This window comes from Homo sapiens, chromosome 3 (assembly GCF_000001405.40).
Source record: "Homo sapiens chromosome 3, GRCh38.p14 Primary Assembly".
NCBI classification, from domain to species: domain Eukaryota; kingdom Metazoa; phylum Chordata; class Mammalia; order Primates; family Hominidae; genus Homo; species Homo sapiens.
In genome coordinates, this window is record NC_000003.12 from 25318704 (window position 1) to 25341369 (window position 22666).

Consider the following 22666-nt stretch of genomic DNA (forward strand, 5'->3'; position numbering starts at 1 on the left):
AGAATGATTTTCTCCCAACCACACAGCCACCATAACAGTGCTTAGCAGAATTGTAAGTGGCCTCCACATTTAAAAATTACCACCCTGAAACTCTCTCATGACCTGCAAGACAGAAGGGAATTTCAAAAAGGTTTTGATTTTTTCAGCATTGTCATCAGACAATATCCTTAATGTCCTTTTCTCTGTGTGTCAATTTACCAACCTTTTATTTTAACTCTTGTAGTGCCCAGCATAGATAGTAACTCATGCTCTGTCTTTCCCCGGGACTCCATGTTTATGTTTGATCACTGAATAATTAGATTTAAGAAGACGTAATTTAGCTGTTAATGCTTATTAACTATAATATTAAAGATGATTTTCAATAATATATTGGACCAATTTATTTGTGTTCTCAGACCTGAGGAGATGAAAGAAAATTCTTATATGGCAAATGATGTGTTTAGATTAATGGTGAAGTTTTATCCTCCGAATAGTTGGGGGACATGAGGAATAAGGGAAGTGACATGCATGTTTTCTCACCCTCTTATCCTGGTGATTCTGAGATCCTGCCATCAAACCCTCAGGTCCTCCCAGGATACAGTTTAATGGCATAGACGATGCCCACATAATAACTAAATCCTTGTGGGAGTATCTTAATAGCATCCATTTCATTCCCTGGAAAGATAACTAGTTTCCCTTCTGTGGAATGGCCATGTTGAGACAGGGTGAGGGGGCTTTGAGTATTTTGAATCTGACAGCTGCATTATGGGTAAGACTGTCATCAATTCTCCTTCTCAACACATTGTTAGTTTATGCCTATTCTCCATCTCTTAGCCCAGACAATCTCATCTGACCAACCAAAATTAAAGAGCTGTCAGGTACCATAAAAACCCACGAATGAGGGTCTTTTCCTCACAGGCCTAAGAATTCCGTTCAACATGATTGCATGCGTGCATGGCAGTTTTGATTTTTTTTCTCCTGAATAGCAGACTTCACCACTTCCTGAAAAGACACAGATCTTGATGAGAAAGTGATCTGATGATGAAACGAACCCTGCATTTGTAGAGTTAAGGAGTTTTGCCATCCAGAAAGGAGAGATATTCACAGTGGATTCTGTACTGTGTGAGTTGCAGACAGACATTTATTGATTCAGGATATACTCTCAGTCACTTCTTTTTATTCTTTTGAAAAGGTGATCTAGCCTAGAACTATTCATGAGAAAAAGTAACTAGCACTATCTCAATGTCACAGCTTAATTTGGGTGGTCAAAAGCTTGCCGTAAATCAGTCTTTCTGGAACAGTGGGGACATTTTCTCTGTAATGAACTAAAAAAAATAAGGATCATCTTTTTTTTTTTTTTGCTAATGGATGTTTTGCCTTTGGATCTTTTGATGCATCAGTCTAGACCAAGGCAAGCGCTGCTAAGGAACCTCTGACCCCAAAAGTCACCCCAACCTCTACAACATCCCCATACCCACTTCCTCATCTTTAGGATTCCTCTCCACAGCAAATTCTATGCAGTCATTGAACATTGCCAGGATGTTTTCAGAAAGAATATTAGGGCATTTTCTTTTTTTCCTTACACCTTCATTATCTTCCTCAAAATATTATAGTAAATTTAAATGGCTCATAATGTCTTATCACCACCCCATAAGATATTATTTTCTCTGTAGTAGTACTTTCACACCAGCTTCAGATTGAAACTCTGGCTGATCGTCTTTAGAGCTGATCCATGCTATTTGACTGCAGAAAAGGAGCTTTCCAGGGCCAGGACATACAACCGAAAGTTTGGCCAATGAGAGGCCTGTCTGCCCTGACTCCATTACTAATTCACCAGTCCCTGACCCAGGATTTCCAACATTTTTCCCTTCTGCCATTTTCTTGCATTTTACTTTGTTCCTCATGTCAAATATTTACTTTATTATTGCTTCTAAATGCTACATCTCATTTCTAGTACCAAAGTGATATTTAGAATCCAAACTTCTATATATGTGAATTCATAGGTAGAATTATTCATGTTAACATACCTCTCAAAAAAGTGCTAAAGGAGCTTTTTGTGAAACCTGGGGTTTACTTTTGTTTGTTTGTTTTTGACCAGAGATATGATTTGGGTTCTTTCCCAGTGAACTCATCGGCTCCTGCTTCCTTCAGTCTTGCAGCGTATAGTCAAACCCCAGGCAAAGCCTCAATGTTCATCACTTAATCCCTTTCAAATACTTTGATTTATGGAACAGAGGATAGAACCTGGAAAATTCTGAGGTATCCACCCAACATTGATATTTAAGCATGCTCATTCTTTATATCCTTCTTTGAATTATAGGCCTATAAGTCCATCAAAGGAACTTTGGGTTTCCCTTTCGGAGCACTTTTTTTCCAAGTGGTATAACCCCGGTGTGGAACTCTGTGTTTAACAAGCAGATCTTTTTCAGTACAAGGCACAATAAGTTTAGGATAAGCTTAGAAACCATCAGGGTTTTCCAGTACAATTATTCCTGAGTTAAACAGGACAATGACCCATTACAAGTTATGTGTGATGCATTCAGACTTTGGGAACTTGACCAAAATGACTTTGAAATGTACAGGGAAAAACCATGATCATTTACCTGGATGGAGTAGTAAGGTACTGCTTCCGCCAAGCCAAAGGTAACTGAATATTGGTATAATACACTGTCTTTTTTGTTGACCAAAAAATTTAAAATATCTAGAGGAAAATTTAACAGAGATAAAAATAACATTTTTAAATTATGCTATCAGGTCGGTCACGGTGGCTCACATCTGTAATCCCAGCACTTTGGGAGGCCGAGGCAGTCCAGTCACCTGAGGTTAGGTGTTCGAGACCAGCCCAGATGACATGGCGAAACCCCTTCTCTACTAAAAATTAAAAATTAGCCGGGCATGGTGGCAGGTACCTGTAATCCCAGCTACTCGGGAGGCTGAGGCAGGAGAATCACTTGAATCTGGGAGGCAAAGGTTGCAGTGAGCCGAGATCATGCCACTGTATCCCAGCCTGGGTGGCAGAGTGAGACTCCATCTCAAAAAATAAATTAAAAAAAAATTGTGCTGTCAGCCATTTGAGTCTTGAATCAATGCAAAGAGACCTTGCTCTTTGGTAGAAAGCTCAGTGTTGTGAAGTTGTAACTTCTCCCCAGAAGAAGCTATAATTTCAATGTGATGTTCTCTAAAATTTAAAAAAAAAAAAAGACAAAAAGATTATTTGGGGAATTTGTGGAGGCAGGCAGTAGAAGGATGGATGCTAATTGATGTGATGATTCTGAAGTTCATCTGAAAAAATTAAAAGATAATAGTTGAAGGAAAAATGTTTGTAGAAAAAAAAAGACAGAAGGAAAGACCACCTTTCCATGAAATAAAATGCATTATAAGCAACAGCAATCAAAACAGTAAGTTACTGGAGTAGCAAGATGAATAGCGCAGCATTGGGTCTGGAGGTATTCCCAAATACGTATGGAAATTTGGTATATGAGGTGGGCATTGAAATGAGTGATGAAAACATATACTATTTAATAAATGTTGGGGGGCGGGGGGGAAGCAAGCTTCCTACCTCATTCCTTCCACCAAAATAAACCTCAGATAAGCCATAGAGGGATAAGTGATTGTGATGAAGAAAAAGAAAGTTGAGATTGCAAAGTTCTAAAAGAAATATGGGTCTATTTTATACTTAGGGAGAGAGGACCTTTTTAGGAGTGACATGAAATGCAAGAGCTAGAAAGTAAAATATTGACTTGACCACAAAACAAAAGTAAGTTCTGATTTTCTTACTGGCCAAGTACATTCATTTATATATCAGTATACACATTGGCACACATATATAAATCATATATACCATTTTAATTTCTCCAAATAGATCCCTAATACTTATGTGCTCTGGAAGGATACAAACAAAATTTTTTACTATGACTTTGGGACAATCTTTTAATTAATTTTATAATCATATTTTTATAATGGCATAAGCATGTATTGCATAAACAGTAAAATCTGTTGATATTGTGTTTAACTTGTAATGGCCCATAATTCAATGGTTCTTAGTTTTTTTAAGATAAACACTACTTTAAGAATCAGAAGCTGTGGCCCCGATCCTCTGACAAGAGCACATAAGCACAGATACCCAAAATGCAACATGAGTTGGAAATCCCTGCTCTAAATAGTTCTAAAGAGAGTTGGTCAGTGATCTATTGCTGTATAACAAACCAACCCCAAACTTATTTGCTTAAAACAAGAACCATTCTATTGCCTATGATTCTGTGGGTCAAAAATTTAGGCAGCACTCAGCTGGTCCAGTTTGTCTAGGCTTCATGTGGGGTTGTCTGCACATTACTGGGGTCAGAGGATCCAAAAGGGCCTCACCTACATGTTTGGGGCCCTGGTCCTATCTGTTGGCAGGTATGCCTCAGTGCTCCTCCATTGGCCTCTCTCCAACAGAATACCCGGGGCTCAAGGCAAAAACATGGAGGCTCAAGGCAAAAACAGAAGCCATGTGATCTCTGAAGCTCTGGGCCCAGCCAACACACAGCATCACTGTCACCACATTCTGCTGGTCAAAGCAAACCACAGGACCAGCTCAGAATGAGGGGAAATAGACCCAAGGTGGGAGGAATGGCACAGCCACATTACAAAAGGACATGTGGGATAAGAGCAATTGCTGTGGTCATTATTAAAGAACAGCCTACCACAATAGAGGTCTCTGAAAATGTGCCACTTTTAGCAACAGGTGAATTTTTCCATTTGTGCCCTAACATTCATACGCAACAAAACATAGTAATCTGAGTGACTGTACACTATAATAGTAGTCTACTCAGTTTAAATTCCCAAGGATTTTCTTATAACATATTCAAAATCTTCCAAAATGAAAACTATGAAAGTATGCATGGAATGGGAAAGTAGATGCCATAACTTTGGCTTGTATATTTCATCCATTTTGATATGAAACATTTTCCATAACTTAGCTCTAGTTTAGAACTCTTCAGAAAACCCACACTGTCCTAGATAATGAAGGGCCACACATTTTTATAGTGGACCTCTATGCCCACACGAAGATGAAGAGCTGGAGAAAAAACATAAACCACAGCCCTAAAATGGATGAACATAGGGATAAGATTTAGAAATTAAACTAAATTTATGACTTCAAAACCCAAGAAGACTTCCAGTTAAGTGTGGTCAGCTTAACTACAAGTTTATCTCCCTTCTTAAACACCATTCACATTCTAGTACCTCAATATTAAATGACAATAGGCAATCAAGGATCACCAAGCACATGAAGAAAGCTCTGCTAAACTAGAAAGCAAAAGTAAACAAACAAAGGTGACACTCAAGGAAGCAGAGATAATAAAGGAAGTGGAAGAAAATCAAGAAAATCATTGATTTCTAGTCTCGGATGAATTAGAAGATACTGTGTACTATTGAAGAGCAGGTTCAGTCAGATCTCCTCCTCTCTGGCTCTCTTTGTCATCTCTTTTTGACTTCTGGAAATGTAGATTCCTGTGTGGCTGTCTCTGATGGCATCATCAAGGTATCCAATGACATGAAGGTACACAAGTTGTTGACACCAGAGGAGTTGAAGAAGCTCAAGAAGGTGGTACTCTTCTGCCTGAGTGAGGACAAGAACTCATCCTCAAGGAGGGCAAGCAGATGTTCGTGGGTGATGTCAGCCAGACTGTCAGTGGCCTCTCCACCACCTCTGTCAAGATGCTGCCAGACAAAGACTGCCATAACGCCCTCTGTGACGCAAACTGTGAGACAAAGGAGAGCAAGGAGGAGGACCTGGTGTTCAGCTTCTGGGCCTGAGTCTGCACCCCTGAAGAGCAAAATGATCTATGCCAACTCCAAGGACACTATCAAGAAGAAGCTGACGGGGATCAAGCATGAATTACAAGCAAACTGCTACGCGGAAGTCAAGAACGACCGCACCTTTGCAGAGAAGCTGGGAGGCAGTGCCATTATCTCCCTGGAGGGAAACCCTTTGTGAGCCCCCTTCCTGGAACATCTGGAAGCCCCAGACCTGCCCACAGGGATTCCATGCTGCCCTATTCCTAACAGACAGGAAGGGGCTGGAGAATCTCAGCAGTGGGAGAGCAATCCTTTCACCCCAGCTGCCAAACAGCTCCCCACCAAGCCCTGCCTTTTCCTCTCCCCTCCATCCCTGACAGTTCCGGCCTTCCCAAATTACCTTTGATCTTCTGATTCTTCTTGGGTTGAAGTGTTAACAGAAAGGAGTCCTGATCCAGACCTCAAGAGAGCGTTCTTAGATCTCATGCAAGAAAGAATTTAGGGCAAGTCCACAGAATAAAGTGAAAGCAAGTTTATTAGGAAGTGAAGAAACAAAAGAATGGCTACTCCATAGGCAGAGCAGTGCCATGGGCTGCTAGACTAAGGATACTTAGTTATTGCTTGATTATATGCTAAACAAGGGGCGGCTTATTCATGAGTTTTCTGGGAAAGAGGCAGGCAATTCCCAGAACTGAGGATCCCTTCCCCTTTTAAACCATATAGTGTAGCTTCCTGATGTTGCCATGGCATTTGTAAATTATCAGGGTGCTGGTGGGAGTGTCTCTCAGCATGCTAATACATTATAATTTGCGTGTAATGAGCAGTGACGACAACCAGAGGTCATTTTCATGGCCATCTTGGTTTTGGTGGGTTTTGGCTGGCTTCTTTACCACAGCCTGTTCTATCAGCAAGGTCTTTGTGTCCTGTACCTTCTGCTGAGCTCCTATCTCATCCTGTGACTTAGAACGGCTAACCTCCTGGGAATGCAGCCCAGTAGCTCTCAGCCTTATTTTACCCAGGCCCTGTTTTATGATGGAGTCGATCTGGCTCAAACGCTCTGACAGAAGCAGACCAAATACCCCCCAGGCACTTCATTTTGTGGGGGTTTTTTTTTTAATAACACCCCAACTCCTCATCTATTCCTTATCCTTCCTCTGCTGCCAACTTCTAACTGCAGTGCTTACTCGTGCTTGTCTGTTGAGTTGTGTGTATAAATGGAATGTTGTGGTGATGAGCCCTCCCCATGCCACTGGTTCTTCTCCCTTTTTTCCTGGTCATGGCCACTTGTGGAAGCAGGACCAGTAGGGTACCTTCAGTTTGGGGGTTGTTGGGGGAAGCCAAAAACAAAGTGGGGGGCGGGGGGAAGAAAGAGCTTTTGGAAATAAAGATAAAATTACCAAAGTGAAACAACTTGTTAAATGCCAGTTTTCTTATGGACTCAGTTTTAGCTAAGTCCAAGACCAACAGATTCCAAATCACCTGTTGAGACCATGCAAGAGAAACGGAAGCTGACTGTACATCCCCTATCATCACCTACCTGAAGCATATATGAAAGAAGATAAGGAGATTTATTGAGGAAGGCTGGTCATGAGAATTTCTTAAAGAGAGTTACCAGTGTGTTCTTCCCTGCTTATCTCCCCCTTGGAAAGAAAGGGGATTGTCCCCTCTACCCCAGAAGTGAAGTGAGTTGACTTTTAGAGAAATACTCAAAGATATTGCTGTATATCTCCCTAAAATTCTGAGGGGCAGTGTGATTGGTATCCAACTGGACCTGCTAAAGTCAAAAGTGGGAGGGAGGCTGTCTAGAGTTGCCTCTAACAGTAGAACAAAGAGAAAGGGGTGCAGTGAGGGCTTGCTGCATCTCACTGATAGTTGGACAAAGGTTTATATTTCCTGAAGGTTGCATGTGGAAAGGAACAGAAATTGAGTCATCCTGAAAAGGACCTCTGGAAAGACAAGATGTCCCCAGTTGTTTATTAAGACAATTGTCTAATTTAGACTATTTTTAATACTTGGAAATGGCCCAAGTTCCTTTCAAGGGTAGAGAAAAAGTTAAAAATAATATGGTTGACAGGCTATGGTATTAAAAAGTAAATTAAATAACTTCTTTTCATGATTTACACCTTAAAAGTCCAACTGTTTTTCAGCAAAGTAGTTACCTTGGTGGTTTCATCATTCTTTAGCATCTCCCTAGTGGATCTGTTGGCACCTTTTGTTGTCAATCCCTGGAATCTCTCCTGAAACATTGGTACAATGAGAAAACTCCCAATGAACATCCTTTTATAGAAATGAAAATATTTAATAGGTAGGCTGGATGACAATATCAAGAAACACTCACAAAATGTAGGATAAAAAGACACAGGGATTTTTTTTTTTAATTTTATTATTATTATACTTTAACTTTTAGGGTACATGTGCACAAAGTGCAGGTTTGTTACATACGTATACATGTGCCATGTTGGTGTGCTGCACCCATTAACTCGTCATTTAACATTAGGTATATCTCCTAATGCTATCCCTCCCCCCTCCTCCCACCCCACAACAGTCCCCGGTGTGTGATGTTCCCCTTCCTGTGTCCATGTGTTCTCATTGTTCAATTCCCACCTATAAGTGAGAACATGCGCTGTTTCGTTTTTAGACACAGGGATTATAAAAGTAGGAGGGAGCAGGGAAGAGAGATTTAGATCAGCCCAGAACGTTTAACATTTGGCTATTAAGAATTACAGGGAGAAATAAGAGAAAACGAATGGGAAGAAATTATTTTTTTTTAAAAAAAGGGAATTTCCTGAGAACTGAAGAATACAAAATTTCAGACTAGAAGGGCAAGATGTCTGGGTACAGTTATTGAAAAATTTTTTAAAAAGATTCACATCAAGCAGCACTACTACAATATTTCAAAATAATAGATCCAAAAAAGGAGGGGGAACATTATAATCAAAGCAATTGGAATCAGAAAGACATCAGACTTTTTAATAGCTACATTAGAAGAGAGAAAAACAAAAAGGCAATATTTTTATAATTCTGAGAGAAAATGACTATCGACCTAGAATTCTATACCTGCCAAAACTTTTAAGTTTGAGCATGGAATAGAGACGTCTTTAGATACGTAAGGTCTCAGAATGTTTCTCTCCACTGTACTCTTTACTAATCTGATCTTGAGGTTTGGCTTTGACCAGATTAGGCAGTTAACTCTGAAACAGAAAGGATTCATGAAACTAAGTGACCAACATAAATCAGAAATGTAAAGCAATAATGAGATGATGAGAAACGGTAAAGTCTCACATGACAGCTCTATGATGGCTCTAGAAAGAAACAAGCTGAGATTGGATGCAAACAATGTAATTGGTATATTATCTGGTCTATTTGACTATAGGCAAGTAATACTAATAATGAGGTATATGAAAGAAAATTAAGAGTAGGTGTATAAGCAAGTTTAAAAAGAGAAGCAACTATCGACTTGCAGAAAAATAAGCATTTGTGTGAGAAATAAAACAAAGTACACTAGTTGGCTTTGCAGTAAAAAATACACAGTACTTATAAACACTATTTAACAAAAACCTTATCAAGAATTATAAATATTTCTAAAGAATTATTAGCAATACAAATTTTCAAATGAAGTAAGCAGGAGGATGGTATAAGAGAGCTAATTCCTCTTGTCCCATAAAGAATATCAATATGCAGTATAAAATTGGTGTATTAAGGAATGGCAATACAAGATATTTGGCAACCTAGAGATCAGGATAAACGGATGAGCGATTTAAGTAGTTGCCTCTAGGCCGGGTGCAGTGGCTTACGCCTGTAATCCCAACACTTTGAAAGACTGAGACGGGCGGATCACCTCAGGTGAGGAGTTCAAAACAAGCCTGCCCAACAGGGCAAAACCCCATCTTTACTAAAAATACAAAAATTAGCTGAGCATGGTGGTGCACACCTGTAATCCCAGCTACTAGAGAGGCTGAGGCAGAAGAATTGCTTGAACCCAAGAAGCAGAGGTTGCAGTGAGCTGAGATCATGCCACTGCACTCCAGCTTGGGCAACAGAGGAAGTCTCTGTCTAAAAGAAAAAGTAAAAATAAATAAGTGAAATAAGGGGGAGGTTCCAAGATGGCCGAATAGGAAGAGCTCCAGTCTACAGCTCCCAGCATGAGCGACACAGAAGACAGGCAATTTTTGCGTTTCCAACTGAGGCACCAGGTTCATCTCATTGGGGCTTGTCAGACAGTGGGTGCAGCCCATGGAACATGAGCCAAAGCAGGGCGGGGCATCACTGCACCCGGGAAGCACAAGGGGTCAGGGAACTCCCTTTCCTAGCCAAGGGAAGCTGTGACAGATGGTACCTGGAAAATTAGGACACTGCCACCCTAATACTGTGCTTTTCCAATGGTCTTAGCAAATGGCACACCAGGAGATTATGTCCCGTGCCTGGCTCGGAGGGTCCCACACCCACAGAGCCTCGCTCACTGCTAGCACAGCAGTCTGAGATCGAACTGCAAGGTGGCAGCGAGGCTAGGGGAGGGGCGTCCACCATTGCTGAGGCTTGAGTAGGTAAACAAAGCAGCCAGGAAGCTTGAACAGGGTGGAACCCACTGCAGCTCAAGGAGGCCTGCCTGCCTCTGTAAACTGCACCTCTCAGGGCAGGGCATAGATGAACAAAAGGCAGCAGAAACTTCTGCAGACTTAAACGTCCCTGTCTGACAGCTTTGAAGAGAGTAGTGGTTCTCCCAGCACGGAGTTTGAGATCTGAGAATGGACAGACTGCCTCCTCAAGTGGGTCCCTGACCCCCGAGTAGCCTAACGGGGAGGCACCACCCAGTAGGGGCTGACTGACACCTCATACGGCCGGGTGCCCCTCTGAGACGAAGCTTCCAGAGGAAGGATAAGGCAGCAATATTTGCCGTTCTGCAGCCTCTGCTGGTGATACCCAGGCAAAAAGGGTCTGGAATGGACCTCCAGCAAACTCCAACAGACCTGCAGCTGAGGGTCCTGACTTTTAGAAGGAAAACTAATAAACAGAAAGGACATCCACACCAAAACCCCACCTATATATCACCATCATCAAAGACCAAAGGTAGGTAAAACCACAAAGATGGGGAGAAACCAGAGCAGAAAAGCTGAAAATTCTAAAAATCAGACTGCCTCTACTCCTCCAAAGGAATGCAGCTGCTCGACAGCAATGGAACAAAGCTGGATGGAGAATGACTTTGATGAGTTGAGAGAAGAAGACTTCAGACGATCAGTAATAACAAACTCCTCCAAGCTAAAGGAGGATGTTGAAACCCATCGCAAAGAAGCTAAAAGCCTTGAAAAAAGATTAGACAAATGGCTAACTAGAATAACCAGTGTAGAGAAGTCCTTAAATGGCCTGATGGAGCTAAAAACCATGGCACGAGAACTACGTGATGCATGCACAAGCTTCAGTAGCTGATTCAATCAAGTGGAAGAAAGGGTATCAGTGATTGAAGATCAAATGAATGAAATGAAGTGAGAAGAGAAGTTTAGAGAAAAATTAATAAAAAGAAATGAACAAATCCTCCAAGAAATATGGGACTATGTGAAAAGACCAAATCTACATCTGATTGGTGTACCTGAAAGTGACGGGGACAATGGAACCAAGTTGGAAAACACTCTGCAGGATATTAATGAGAAGAGCTTCCCCAAGCCAGCAAGACAGGCCAACATTCCAATTCAGGAAATACAGAGAACTCCACAAAGATACTCCCCGAGAAGAGCAACCCCAAGACACATAATTGTCAGATTCACAAAGTTGAAATGAAGGAAAAAGTGTTAAGGGCAGCCAGAGAGAAAGGTCAGGTTACCCACAAAGGGAAGCCCATCAGACTAACAGCGGATCTCTCGGCAGACACTCTGCAAGCCAGAAGAGAGTGGGGGCCAATATTCAACATTCTTAAAGAAAAGAATTTTCAACCCAGAATTTCATATCCAGCCAAACTAAGCTTCATAAGTGAAGGAGAAATAAAATCCTTTACAGACAAGCAAATGCTGAGAGATTTTGTCACAACCAGGCCTGCCCTACAAGAGCTCCTGAAGGAAGCACTAAACATGGAAAGGAACAACCAGTACCAGCCACTAAAAAACATGCCAAATTGTAAAGACTATCAATTCTAGGAAGAAACTGCATCAACTAATGAGCAAAACAACCAGCTAACATCATAATGACAGGATCAGATTCACACATAACAATACTAACCTTAAATGTAAATGGGTTAAATGCTCCAATTAAAAGACACAGACTGGCAAATTGGATAAAGAGTCAAGACCCATCAGTGTGCTGTATTCAGGAGACCCATCTCACGTGCAGAGACACACATAGGCTCAAAATAAAGGGATGGAGGAGGATCTACCAAGCAAATGGAAAATAAAAAAACAAACAAAAAAAGCAGGGGTTGTAATCCTAGTCTCTGATAAAACAGACTTTAAACCAACAAAGATCAAAAGAGACAAAGAAGGCCATTACATAATGGTGAAGGGATCAATTCAACAAGAAGAGTTAACTGTGCTAAATATATATGCACCCAATACAGGAGCACCCAGATTCATGAAGCAAGTCCTTAGAGACCTACAAAGAGACTTAGACCCCCACACAACAATAATGGGAGACTTTAACACCCCACTGTCAACATTAGACAGATCAGCGAGACAGAAAGTTAACAAGGATATCCAGGAATTGAATTCAGCTCTGCACCAAGCAGACCTAATAAACATCTACAGAATTCTCCACCCCAAATCAACAGAATATACATTCATCTCAGCACCACATCGCACTTATTCCAAAATTGACCACATAGTTGGAAGGAAAGCACTCCTCAGAAAATATAAAAGAACAGAAATTATAACAGACTGTCTCTCAGACCACAGTGCAATCAAACTAGAACTCAGGATTAAGAAACTCACTCAGAACAGCTCAACTACATGGAAACTGAACAACCTGCTCCTGAATGACTACTGGATACATAACAAAACGAAGGCAGAAATAAAGATGTGCTTTGAAACCAGTGAGAACAAAGACACAACATACCAGAATCTCTGGGACACATGTAAAGCAGTGTGTAGAGAGAAATTTATAGCACTAAATGCCCACAAGAGAAAGCAGGAAAGATCTAAAATTGACACCCTAACATCACAATTAAAAGAACTGAGAAGCAAGAGCAGACACATTCAAAAGCTAGCAGAAGGTAAGAAATAACTAAGATCAGAGCAGAACTGAAGGAGATAGAGACACAAAAAACCCTTCAAAAAATCAATGAATCCAGGAGCTGGTTTTTTGGAAAGATCAACAAAACTGATAGACCACTAGCAGGACTAATAAAGAAGAAAAGAGAGAAGAATCAAATAGACACAATAAAAAATGATAAAGGGGATATCACCACCGATCCCACAGAAATACAAACTACCATCAGAGAATACTATTAACACCTCTATGCAAATAAACTAGAAAATCTAGAAGAAATGGATAAATACCTGGACACATACACCCTCCCAAGACTAAACCAGGAAGAATTTGAGTCCCTGAATAGACCAATAACAGGGTCTGAAATTGAGGCAATAATTAATAGCTTACCAACCAAAAAAAGTTCAGGACCAGACGGATTCACAGCCAAATTCTACCAGAGGTACAAAGACGAGCTGGTACCATTCGTTCTGAAACTATTCCAATCAATAGAAAAAGAGGGAATCCTCCCTAACTCATTTTATGAGGCCAGCATCATCCTGATACCAAAGCATGGCAGAGACACAACAAAAAAAGAGAATTGTAGACCAATATCCCTGATGAACATCGATGCAGAAATCCTCAATAAAATACTGGCAAACTGAATCCAGCAGCACATCAAAAAGGTTATCCACCACGATCAAGTTGGCTTCATCCCTGGGATGCAAGGCTGGTTCAACAAACACAAATCAATAAACGTAATCCAGCATATAAACAGAACCAATGACAAAAACCACATGATTATCTCAATAGATGCAGAAAAGGCCTTTGACAGAATTCAACAGCCCTTCATGCTAAAAACTCTCAATAAACTAGGTATTGATGGGATGTATCTCAAAATAATAAGAGCCATTTATGACGAACCCACAGCCAATATCATACTGAATGGACAAAAACTGGAAGCATTCCCTTTGAAAACTGGCACAAGACAGGGATGACCTCTCTCACCACTCCTATTCAGCATAGTGCTGGAAGTTCTGGCCAGGGCAATCAGGCAGGAGAAAGAAATAAAGGGTATTCAATTAGGAAAAGAGGAAGTCAAATTGTCCCTGTTTGCAGATGACATGATTGTATATTTAGAAAACCCCATCATCTCAGCCCAAAATCTCCTTAAGCTGTTAAGCAACTTCAGCAAAGTCTCAGGATACAAAATCAACGTGCAAAAATCACAAGCAGTCCTATACACCAATAACAAACAAACAGAGAGCCAAATCATGAGTGAACCTTCATTCACAATTGCTTCAAAGAGAATAAAATACCTAGGAATCCAACGTACAAGGGATGTGAAGGACCTATTCAAGGAGAACTACAAACCACTGCTCAACAAAATAAAAGAGGACACAAACAAATGGAAGAACACTCCATGCTCATGGATAGGAAGAATCAATATCATGAAAATGGCCATAGTGCCCAAGGTAATTTATAGATTCAATGCCATCCCCATCAAGCTACCAATGACTTTCTTCACAGAATTGGAAAAAACTACTTTAAAGTTCATATGGAACCAAAAAAGAGCCCGCATTGCCAAGTCAATCCTAAGCCAAAAGAACAAAGCTGGAGGCATCACGCTACCTGACTTCAAACTATACTACAAGGCTACAGTAACCAAAACAGCATGGTACTGGTACCAAAACAGACATATAGACCAATGGAAAAGAACAGAGGCCTCAGAAATAATACCACACATCTACGACCATCTAGTCTTTGACAAACCTGACAAAAACAAGAAATGGGGAAAGGATTCCCTATTTAATAAATGGTGCTGGGAAAACTGGCTAGCCATATGTAGAAAGCTGAAACTGGATCCCTTCCTTACACCTTATACAAAAATTAATTCAAGATGGATTAAAGACTTAAATGTTAGACCTAAAACCATAAAAACCTTAGAAGAAAACCTAGGCAATACCATTCAGGACATAGGCATGAGCAAGGACTTTATGTCTAAAACACCAAAAGCAATGGCAACAAAAGCCAAAATTGACAAATGGGATCTAATTAAACTAAAGAGCTTCTGCACAGCAAAAGAAACTACCATCAGAGTGAACAGGCAACCTACAGAATGGGAGTAAATTTTTACATTCTACCCATCTGACAAAGGGCTAATGTCCAGAATCTACAAAGAACTTAAACGGATTTACAAGAAAAAATGAAACAACCCCATCACAAAGTGGGCAAAGGACATGAACAGACACTTCTCAAAAGAAGACATTTATGCAGCCAACAGACACATGAAAAAATGCTCATCATCACTGGCCATCAGAGAAATGCAGATCAAAACCACAATGAGATACCATCTCACACCAGTTAGAATGGCAATCATTAAAAAGTCAGGGAACAACAGGTGCTGGAGAGGATGTGGAGAAACAGGAACACTTTTACACTGTTGGTGGGACTGTAAACTAGTTCAACCATTGTGGAAGACAGTGTGGCGATTCCTCAGGGATCTAGAACTAGAAATACCATTTGACCCAGTCATCCTATTACTGGGTATATACCCAAAGGATTATAAATCATGCTGCTATAAAGACACATGCACACGTATGTTTATTGCAGCACTATTCACAATAACAAAGACTTGGAACCAACCCACATGTCCATTAATGATAGACCGGATTAAGAAAATGTGGCACATATACACCATGGAATACTATGCAGCCATAAAAAAGGGATGAGTTCATGTCCTTTTTAGGGACATGGATGAAGTAGGAAACCATCATTCTGAGCAAACTATTGCAAGGACAGAAAAGCAAACACCGCATGTTCTCACTCATAGGTGGGAATTGAATAATGAGAACACTTGGACACAGAATGGGGAACATCACACACTGGGGCCTGTTGTGGGGTGGAGGGAGCGGGGAAGGATAGCATTAGGAGATATACCTAATGTAAATGACAAGTTATTGGATGCAGCACACCAACGTGGCACATGTATACATATGTAACAAACCTGCAGGTTGTGCACATGTACCCTAGAACTTAAAGTGTAATAAAAAAAGTAAAAAATAAATCCTTAATGTAAAAATAAATAAATAAGTGGTTTCCTCTAAAAAGTGGAGCGGGAAGGAAAAAAATGAGAGTTCATGTGTGTTGGGAATTTTCTTAAATTGTTATCTTTCTTTTGGCACCGTTTTAATTATGTATGTATATTACTTTCACAAAGAAATTTAAAAGAAATATTCATCATGGCTTCATTCAATTCAAGCTAGCATTATGTGTTGGTCACCTTCTTTTTTCAGATCAGTGTGAGTTGTGGAGAATGTGAAGATAAGAAACAATTTGACTTTCTGTTGGGGTTACTTAGGGATGGGGAGAGACAGAGGTTAGAGGAGTCAAGAGCATGGGCTCTGGTGTTAGGTGGGGGTGTGAATTCCAGCCCCCACCCATGCTGGCTGGCTGACCCTGGGCAACTTCTCTCTGCCTCTGTTTCCTCAGCTATAATATGGGGATGGTAATAGCACAAGCATACTGTATAGGTTTGGTGGGAGGCTTAAGTGAGTGAATGGATGTTCAGTGAGTGCTTTGGTGTGTGGCACATACCAAATGTTCAATAAGCAGCAGTTATCACTCTCTTATGTCTCTCATGATGACACACACATCATGAAATTCTAAGCACAATGCTAGAAGGCCATCCTAAGTGCCTAGAAGGCAGAGCCAGTGGATTTTTAAAAATTAATTCTTGGATAAAAATAATTGTCAGTTGCAGGGCACTGATTATGAACTGAAAAGCTTTGCAGAAGCAATCCACTGTGTGAGAGACCTCTGTGGCCCGGCATGTTGGCATGTATTTTATTGGCTTCTGTCTCCTGCCTTGTGCATATCAGGCCAGGTTTGGCACCTCATTACCTTCTCTTGGCTTCCCCAGTTCCATTGTGCAGTCACCTCTTAAATTTTCTGCCCTAGGGTAACTGCTAACAGCATTCACCCCATCTTCTGGCTGTCAACTGAAAGGCCACTGTGAGTTCACTTCCTGAGAGGGGCCTTGCTGGAGACCAAATAACCCAACCAAATTGCCAGAATTTCACATTTACTTTCTGCAAGAGTGGACAGGGAGACTCTGTTTCTGCCTCTGACAACCTCATCTATTATGATCTCTGCTATATTCTCTTCTTGTACTGATATTTTGTCACCTATGTGGCCAGGGAACAGTCCACAGGAAAATACAGGAGAACATGTAAAGCATTTAAATGGGGAAATAATTTAGTAGTATAGCCATACATAAACTTTCAAAGTCTCATTAATAAATGTTCATTTATTTGAGTATTATCCATCCTCTAAAACACAGGTTTTTAAAACATATATAACAAGTGTTAGAGTTCTTTTAGAATTTTCCTAATAGGTTTTTTTCAGTTTTCACCAGAAGACACCCCCACTGGGGAGGGAAAAAAAAAAAAACATTCAAAGCATGCTGTGATCTTAAGAGGAAAAAAGGAAATAAAATTATGTATTCCATATGATCTTATCTATGTAAGAAGAGAAAAATAAAGACAACTGGAAGAATATAAACCAAAATGCTAAGAGAAGTCACTCTCCTAGAGTTCAGAGATTTAGTAGTTTTTCTTTCTTACACCTTTTCTTTTAGAGATATAGTCTATTATGAGAATGACATACATGCTTTAAAAATAAGTAATAATAGCCTCAAGATAAATAACACAATTAAATTCCACAGATAACTTCAGTACTTACTATTTTCTAATATTTTAGGTGCTTTTAGAGTTCAAGGCACTTGTTAATAAAATGTATTTTATTCATTTAGTATTTGTTTAATGGCTTCTTATTGTCATTATTCCTTAGTAGATTTTAAACCTCTTGTGGGCAAAAATCAAACGTTAGACTTCTCTGTAACACAACTTCCTGGCCCAATTCTTCTTTGAGGTTAAATGCTTATAAGTATTTCAGCTTTGGAGCGGGATAAGGAGGGATGTTCCTTCCTCTCTGCCCAACAACATATGGTACTTGAAACAAATTCTCAACAATGACATTTGGACATTTATGGCCACCTCTCTCATTAGCTGGAATTCCACTGAACTAATCCTAGGTTTAGTGCCAATTACCTAAAGGTTAATGTGGCCAAGCAATACCGGGAGAATTGGGGTTTTTCCAAGAAATGGTCTGTATCACATTATGTTCAGGATGAGAGAGTGATTGACGCTGTAGAACGGCTCACTTGGGAGACCCAGAGTGTCCTGCTGTGCTCCTCTCAGAACAGGGTCCTACTCTGAGGCTTAAGGGAGGAAAGATAAAGGACAAGGAAGTAAATGAAGCTGGGCAGAGTGTGTGGACGAGTTCAATAATTATTTATAAATCGCCATGGATGCAGTGATGAACAAGTCGCTGCCCTCACAGAAATTACTTTCTAGTAGAGCTAAACTCCATTAGATCTCAGCATCAGAATGGGATGCCCCTGAAAAGTGAGAGATTTGAGGCCATGTACTAAATTAGAAGAGGCAGGAACAAGAAATGTACATTTTGCTCATCTATGGATATGTCAACCACTATTACCACCATCCTTTTTCTTACCAACCCCCACCCCCACAAAAAAGTTAGAATACATTCACTACAGAATAGCAAGGCAAAATATTCCATGGATCAACAATAATTTAAAAAGTATTGTATGTATAAACATGATTCTCCAATTCAGAATCCTAATCACAACCATTATAGTTAATTTAGGAAGCTCTTAGTAATTCAGAGAGAATCTACAGCATTTATTTGAAAAGTTCCCTCAATGTGTCAGAAGACCTCATCTTACAGGGCTTTACCAATAGCTACATTTAGCCTCACTTTCTACATTTGCACCCTCATTCATTCTACTCAGGACAGTCAACTTCTTAATGTGTCTGAAATGCATCGACATCATTCCCATCTCAAGGCTTTTGCTTTTATTGTTCTCTCTGCCTGAAATGTTCTTCCACCAAATCTTTACGTGGCTCTTCCCCTCATATTTTTCAATTACTTCTTCAGACACCACCTCCTTACAAAGGCTTTCCATGATCACCCTCATTAAGATACCCTCAGCCACCTCTAACCCTTTACCCTGCTTTATTTTTTTGTGTGCAGCACTATTACCTGAAATTATAAATACCTTTTTTGCCCTAGAATGTACATTCCAGGAGTATACGTTTCTTGTTTGCCCTCTTCCCTGTCTACATCCCCAGAGCCTTAGAAGAGTAGGTGATTTAGAGTGGATACTCAATAAATATTTGTTGGATTAATAAATTAATGAATTTAGTTGAACTAAGTTTACCTAGACAGAATAATCAAAAGCGTAGGTCAATTAGATCTAAAAACTGTAATTTATCTCTACAAACATTCAACACTATATCTTTCACTGAACCACAGGTTTCACAATAAAATCACCGTTATTGAGCATTGAAGCATGTGTATGTCACCCCCCTCCAAACCCCCAACACACACACACACACACACACACACACACACACACACAGAATTAAGCAAAGTACCAAGACATAAAAGTTTTCTGAAACTCATGAGCTACATTTTGGTCACTTAGACCATAAAAGCCCTAATTTCCTAATCCATTGCATTTCAGCCTCTTTTGCAGCAGGCATCCCATGGGAGAGCAAGAGATAGTATCTAGAGGCTGTATTTACAAAAGGGATGCTCTGCTCTGAAAGTCCTCTGGCTATTGTCACACCATTTGTTTTTCATGATTGGAATGTGTGGCATTATTGAAGGGTGGGCTGTTGTCTAAATTGAATGGGTGAAGAGAAACAGAGAGACATTCTCTTTGCCACCTTTGTAGATAGGCGGCTGGAGAGTCTATGTACTGAATTACCCACTGTCAATTATTGATGGTTTGGCTGGAATCATTTACACTCTCTAGTTACTTTGACATCTAGCCAAAAGGCAGCTGCCAGCCTGCTAGGAACCTCCCTTTTAACCATAGGGAAGTTCAAAAGAAAAGATTCAGCAAACCAAACTCATCTGCACAAGCTTCTGTGGGTTTCTGGAAGACTCAGGTCATGTTGCTTCTTCATAAGAGTTTAAGTCATTTGTTCATTCACTTATCTATTTAATTTTATACAGGAAAGGCTGACATTCATCAGTTTGCACTAATACAACTCTAATGGTTATTAAAATACTGAAATATTTGTGTAGTCCTTGGTAAGTGGCCACTACCCTGAGCCTTTCCTCACCAGGGTCACCACACCAGACCTTCCCAAAATCACCACTCAAAGGTTAGCACTTGGCACAGCAGGGGGCCTTCAAAATCGGGTCTCTGAGAGAACAGTTGAGATCCATTCTGAGTAGTAGTGCTCACTACTTTCCATATAATAAATATTTGATTATCACCTCACCTGAGACTGTAATAGCAATAAAACTTGCACTTGAAAGGTCTATGTTCTTTACTTCATAATAAATTCAAGACTAGCTTAACAGAAATGGAAGTCACATAATCTGAAAATATTAAATTGTTTTGAAACACCCTTAAAGGAGAAGTCTCCCAGGATCAAATTGTATTGCCTTGTCCTACCGAAACAAACCTCACTTGCTAAATGAAGTTTAGCCTAAAGCTGCCTCCTTCCATATTTTAAGTTTGGCCTGAAGGTTTCTCTGTACATCGTGAAGTATAACAACTGGAAGTGTAAATACTCTGTAGCCTCACTTGTGCCAGTCACTGAGTTTGGCCAGTCAAATGTAGCCAGCTGTTTGAACCATGTTCAAGTAGGGCAAACACTGAGCTGTAACCAATTCAACGCTTTCTGTACCTCACTTCTGTTTTCGGAACGTCACTTTCCTTTTTCTGTCCATAAATCTTCCACCACGTGGCTGCGCGGGAGTCTCTGAGTCTACTCTGACTCAGGAGGCTGCTGGAATCGCAAATCGTTTGTTTCTCAATTAAATTCCATTAAATTTAATTCAGCTGAAGTTTTTTTTTTTTTTTAATCACACTGTTTGCCTAATTTGAGAGCATTTCCCCCAAAAAAAGGCATTCTGGTTTTAACACATACACCCACAAAGGCACAGGGATCTTGCTCTCTTGGATCCTGTGTTATAGCCGTGGTTTGGATGTTAAGAGTCAACTGTATTACATTCCCAGGAGCCATAGCATTGTACCTCCAGAGAAGGTCTGAAGACTGGGCTCAACTAATCACATATACTGCAATGCTTGGAAACCTATTCATTTTCTGGGAAAAGATCATCCTCAACAGTTTCCACAAAACTGCATAAAACTTGCACAACTCTGGCTGCAGTTTTTATATTGCAATTTAAACAATTTCTAAAAAATAAGTAAGAGGCCTACTGTGGAGGTGACCCAAGTTTGAGCCATGCAGAAGGTCCTGAATTGGTTTAAAGACCCTGCCATGGACATATGAAAAAGAAGACTGCAGCCTACTAGCTATTGGTACAGAGCATGTAAAGCGAAGGAGAACACGTGGGATGAACATCACTGATAGTAAAATGCAGAGACCTGCTGACATGTTTCTCCCTTTCAAGAAGAATGAGGAGTTTGGTGCTCATCAGTCACTGCACTGGGCTGACTACAAAGGACTCTGAAAGACTAATGGAAAAAAAACAGGTGACTTTATTGTACTTCTATACTTACCTCATCATGTTGTTTTAATAATTTTTGTTTCTGTAGGAAGCTTCCCTAGTGAGTTGCTTCTGCCTCCATGGAATGTAAGTTCAATTTCCCATTTATGTGAGGACTAGATATAACCATCCCTTCATGCTAAGCCCTGTTTTCTTTAAAATTTTGAGTCCATTGTTCACAAGTGATGAGCCACCACCATCAGGCTTTCTTTTGTAGAGAGAGGAAATAGGAATGCGTATTCTTATCAGTTCTTATGCCTCTGGTTTTATTTTACAAGCAGCATGGACATGTGAATTAATGTGTGGCTCTGACCAAAACAAAACATTACTTAGAAGCAAGTGAGGACTTTTTTTCTCCATTTAAAGTATCTGGCTCTACAAAGCAGGAAATAAATACTTTGCCTCACTTCAGCATTCCTATTCTTGGCAGTTGATTTGGCTAGACAGGTGAAAAACAAGAGAGATTTTAGGGGGAAGCTCTGTCTGGAGAACAAGAAGGAAGTAGGTCAAAGCCTGGCAAGGAATTTTAGGGAGGATCTCGCTTTGGAGAAGCCATTGACAGAGCTTGAAGCAAATGAAAATCAAGTCTCAATTTATTCAGCAAATAATTATGAGGAATGAAGCTGAGTAGAATTGCCTTTCCAGGTGAGGTTATCTGAGTGAGTACAGAATCATTCTCATTAATCATTTTATATCAGGATTATCAATCAAATCTTCTGCAGATATTTTCTGTATAACCTCCTAGGTGCTGAATTGTGAGCTAAATAGGCGTTGTCTTTGCCTCTCAATCTGTGTTCATTGGAAAGGACATGCAGCCAGCAGAACATAATTAACTGAACACTCAACTTTGCCTCTACAGCTTCTTCTGTGTTGTACCTGAGCAAAGCAATACGATGAGTTCTTGGAGACCAAAAGTCTTCTGTTACTCATATCTAAACTGTGGCATCTAAGACCGTGCCTGGCATGAAGCAGACCTTTAATACTTGTCTCTGGAGTGCTCAAAAGAAAGAAGTACAGAGGCTGTCCATAAAGTCTGGAAACATAGGTGAATATACATAAGATCACCAAGGACATCTTCCATCTGTGAAAAAGTGAAATAGCATTATATATGTTTCCAGACATT

The 22666-nt window shown here is 40.2% G+C and overlaps 1 protein-coding gene, 1 non-coding gene and 1 pseudogene across 3 annotated transcripts in view, besides 2 other annotated features; all 3 read left to right on the top strand.

Annotated features, from left to right (window-relative positions):
• Window positions 1-22666, top strand: part of RARB (retinoic acid receptor beta) — a 768612-nt gene that overhangs the window by 489383 nt on the left and 256563 nt on the right. Inside the window, exon 1 of one of the 2 annotated variants that reach the window (NM_001290300.2) lies at window positions 22099-22188. The exons of the other annotated variant lie outside the window; for it this stretch is intronic. Coding sequence (NP_001277229.1) covers window positions 22161-22188 — 28 coding nt within the window. The 5' untranslated portion in view covers window positions 22099-22160. Of the gene's footprint in view, window positions 1-22098; window positions 22189-22666 lie in introns of those variants that run through there. 2 annotated transcript variants of the gene reach the window in all.
• Window positions 4954-5462: an enhancer, noted in NCBI's record as "OCT4-NANOG-H3K4me1 hESC enhancer chr3:25365148-25365656 (GRCh37/hg19 assembly coordinates)". NCBI's record gives its function as "activates a minimal SCP1, AML or CMV promoter by ChIP-STARR-seq in naive and primed H9 embryonic stem cells {active_cell/tissue: H9 hESC(naive and primed)}" and the evidence as "EXISTENCE:reporter gene assay evidence [ECO:0000049][PMID:30033119]".
• Window positions 5416-7074, top strand: CFL1P7 (cofilin 1 pseudogene 7; annotated as a pseudogene).
• Window positions 5463-5971: an enhancer, noted in NCBI's record as "OCT4-NANOG-H3K4me1 hESC enhancer chr3:25365657-25366165 (GRCh37/hg19 assembly coordinates)". NCBI's record gives its function as "activates a minimal SCP1, AML or CMV promoter by ChIP-STARR-seq in primed H9 embryonic stem cells {active_cell/tissue: H9 hESC(primed)}" and the evidence as "EXISTENCE:reporter gene assay evidence [ECO:0000049][PMID:30033119]".
• Window positions 17290-17355, top strand: LOC124906342 (U7 small nuclear RNA). The gene has a single exon (XR_007096298.1). It is a non-coding gene; the product is annotated as a U7 small nuclear RNA (small nuclear RNA).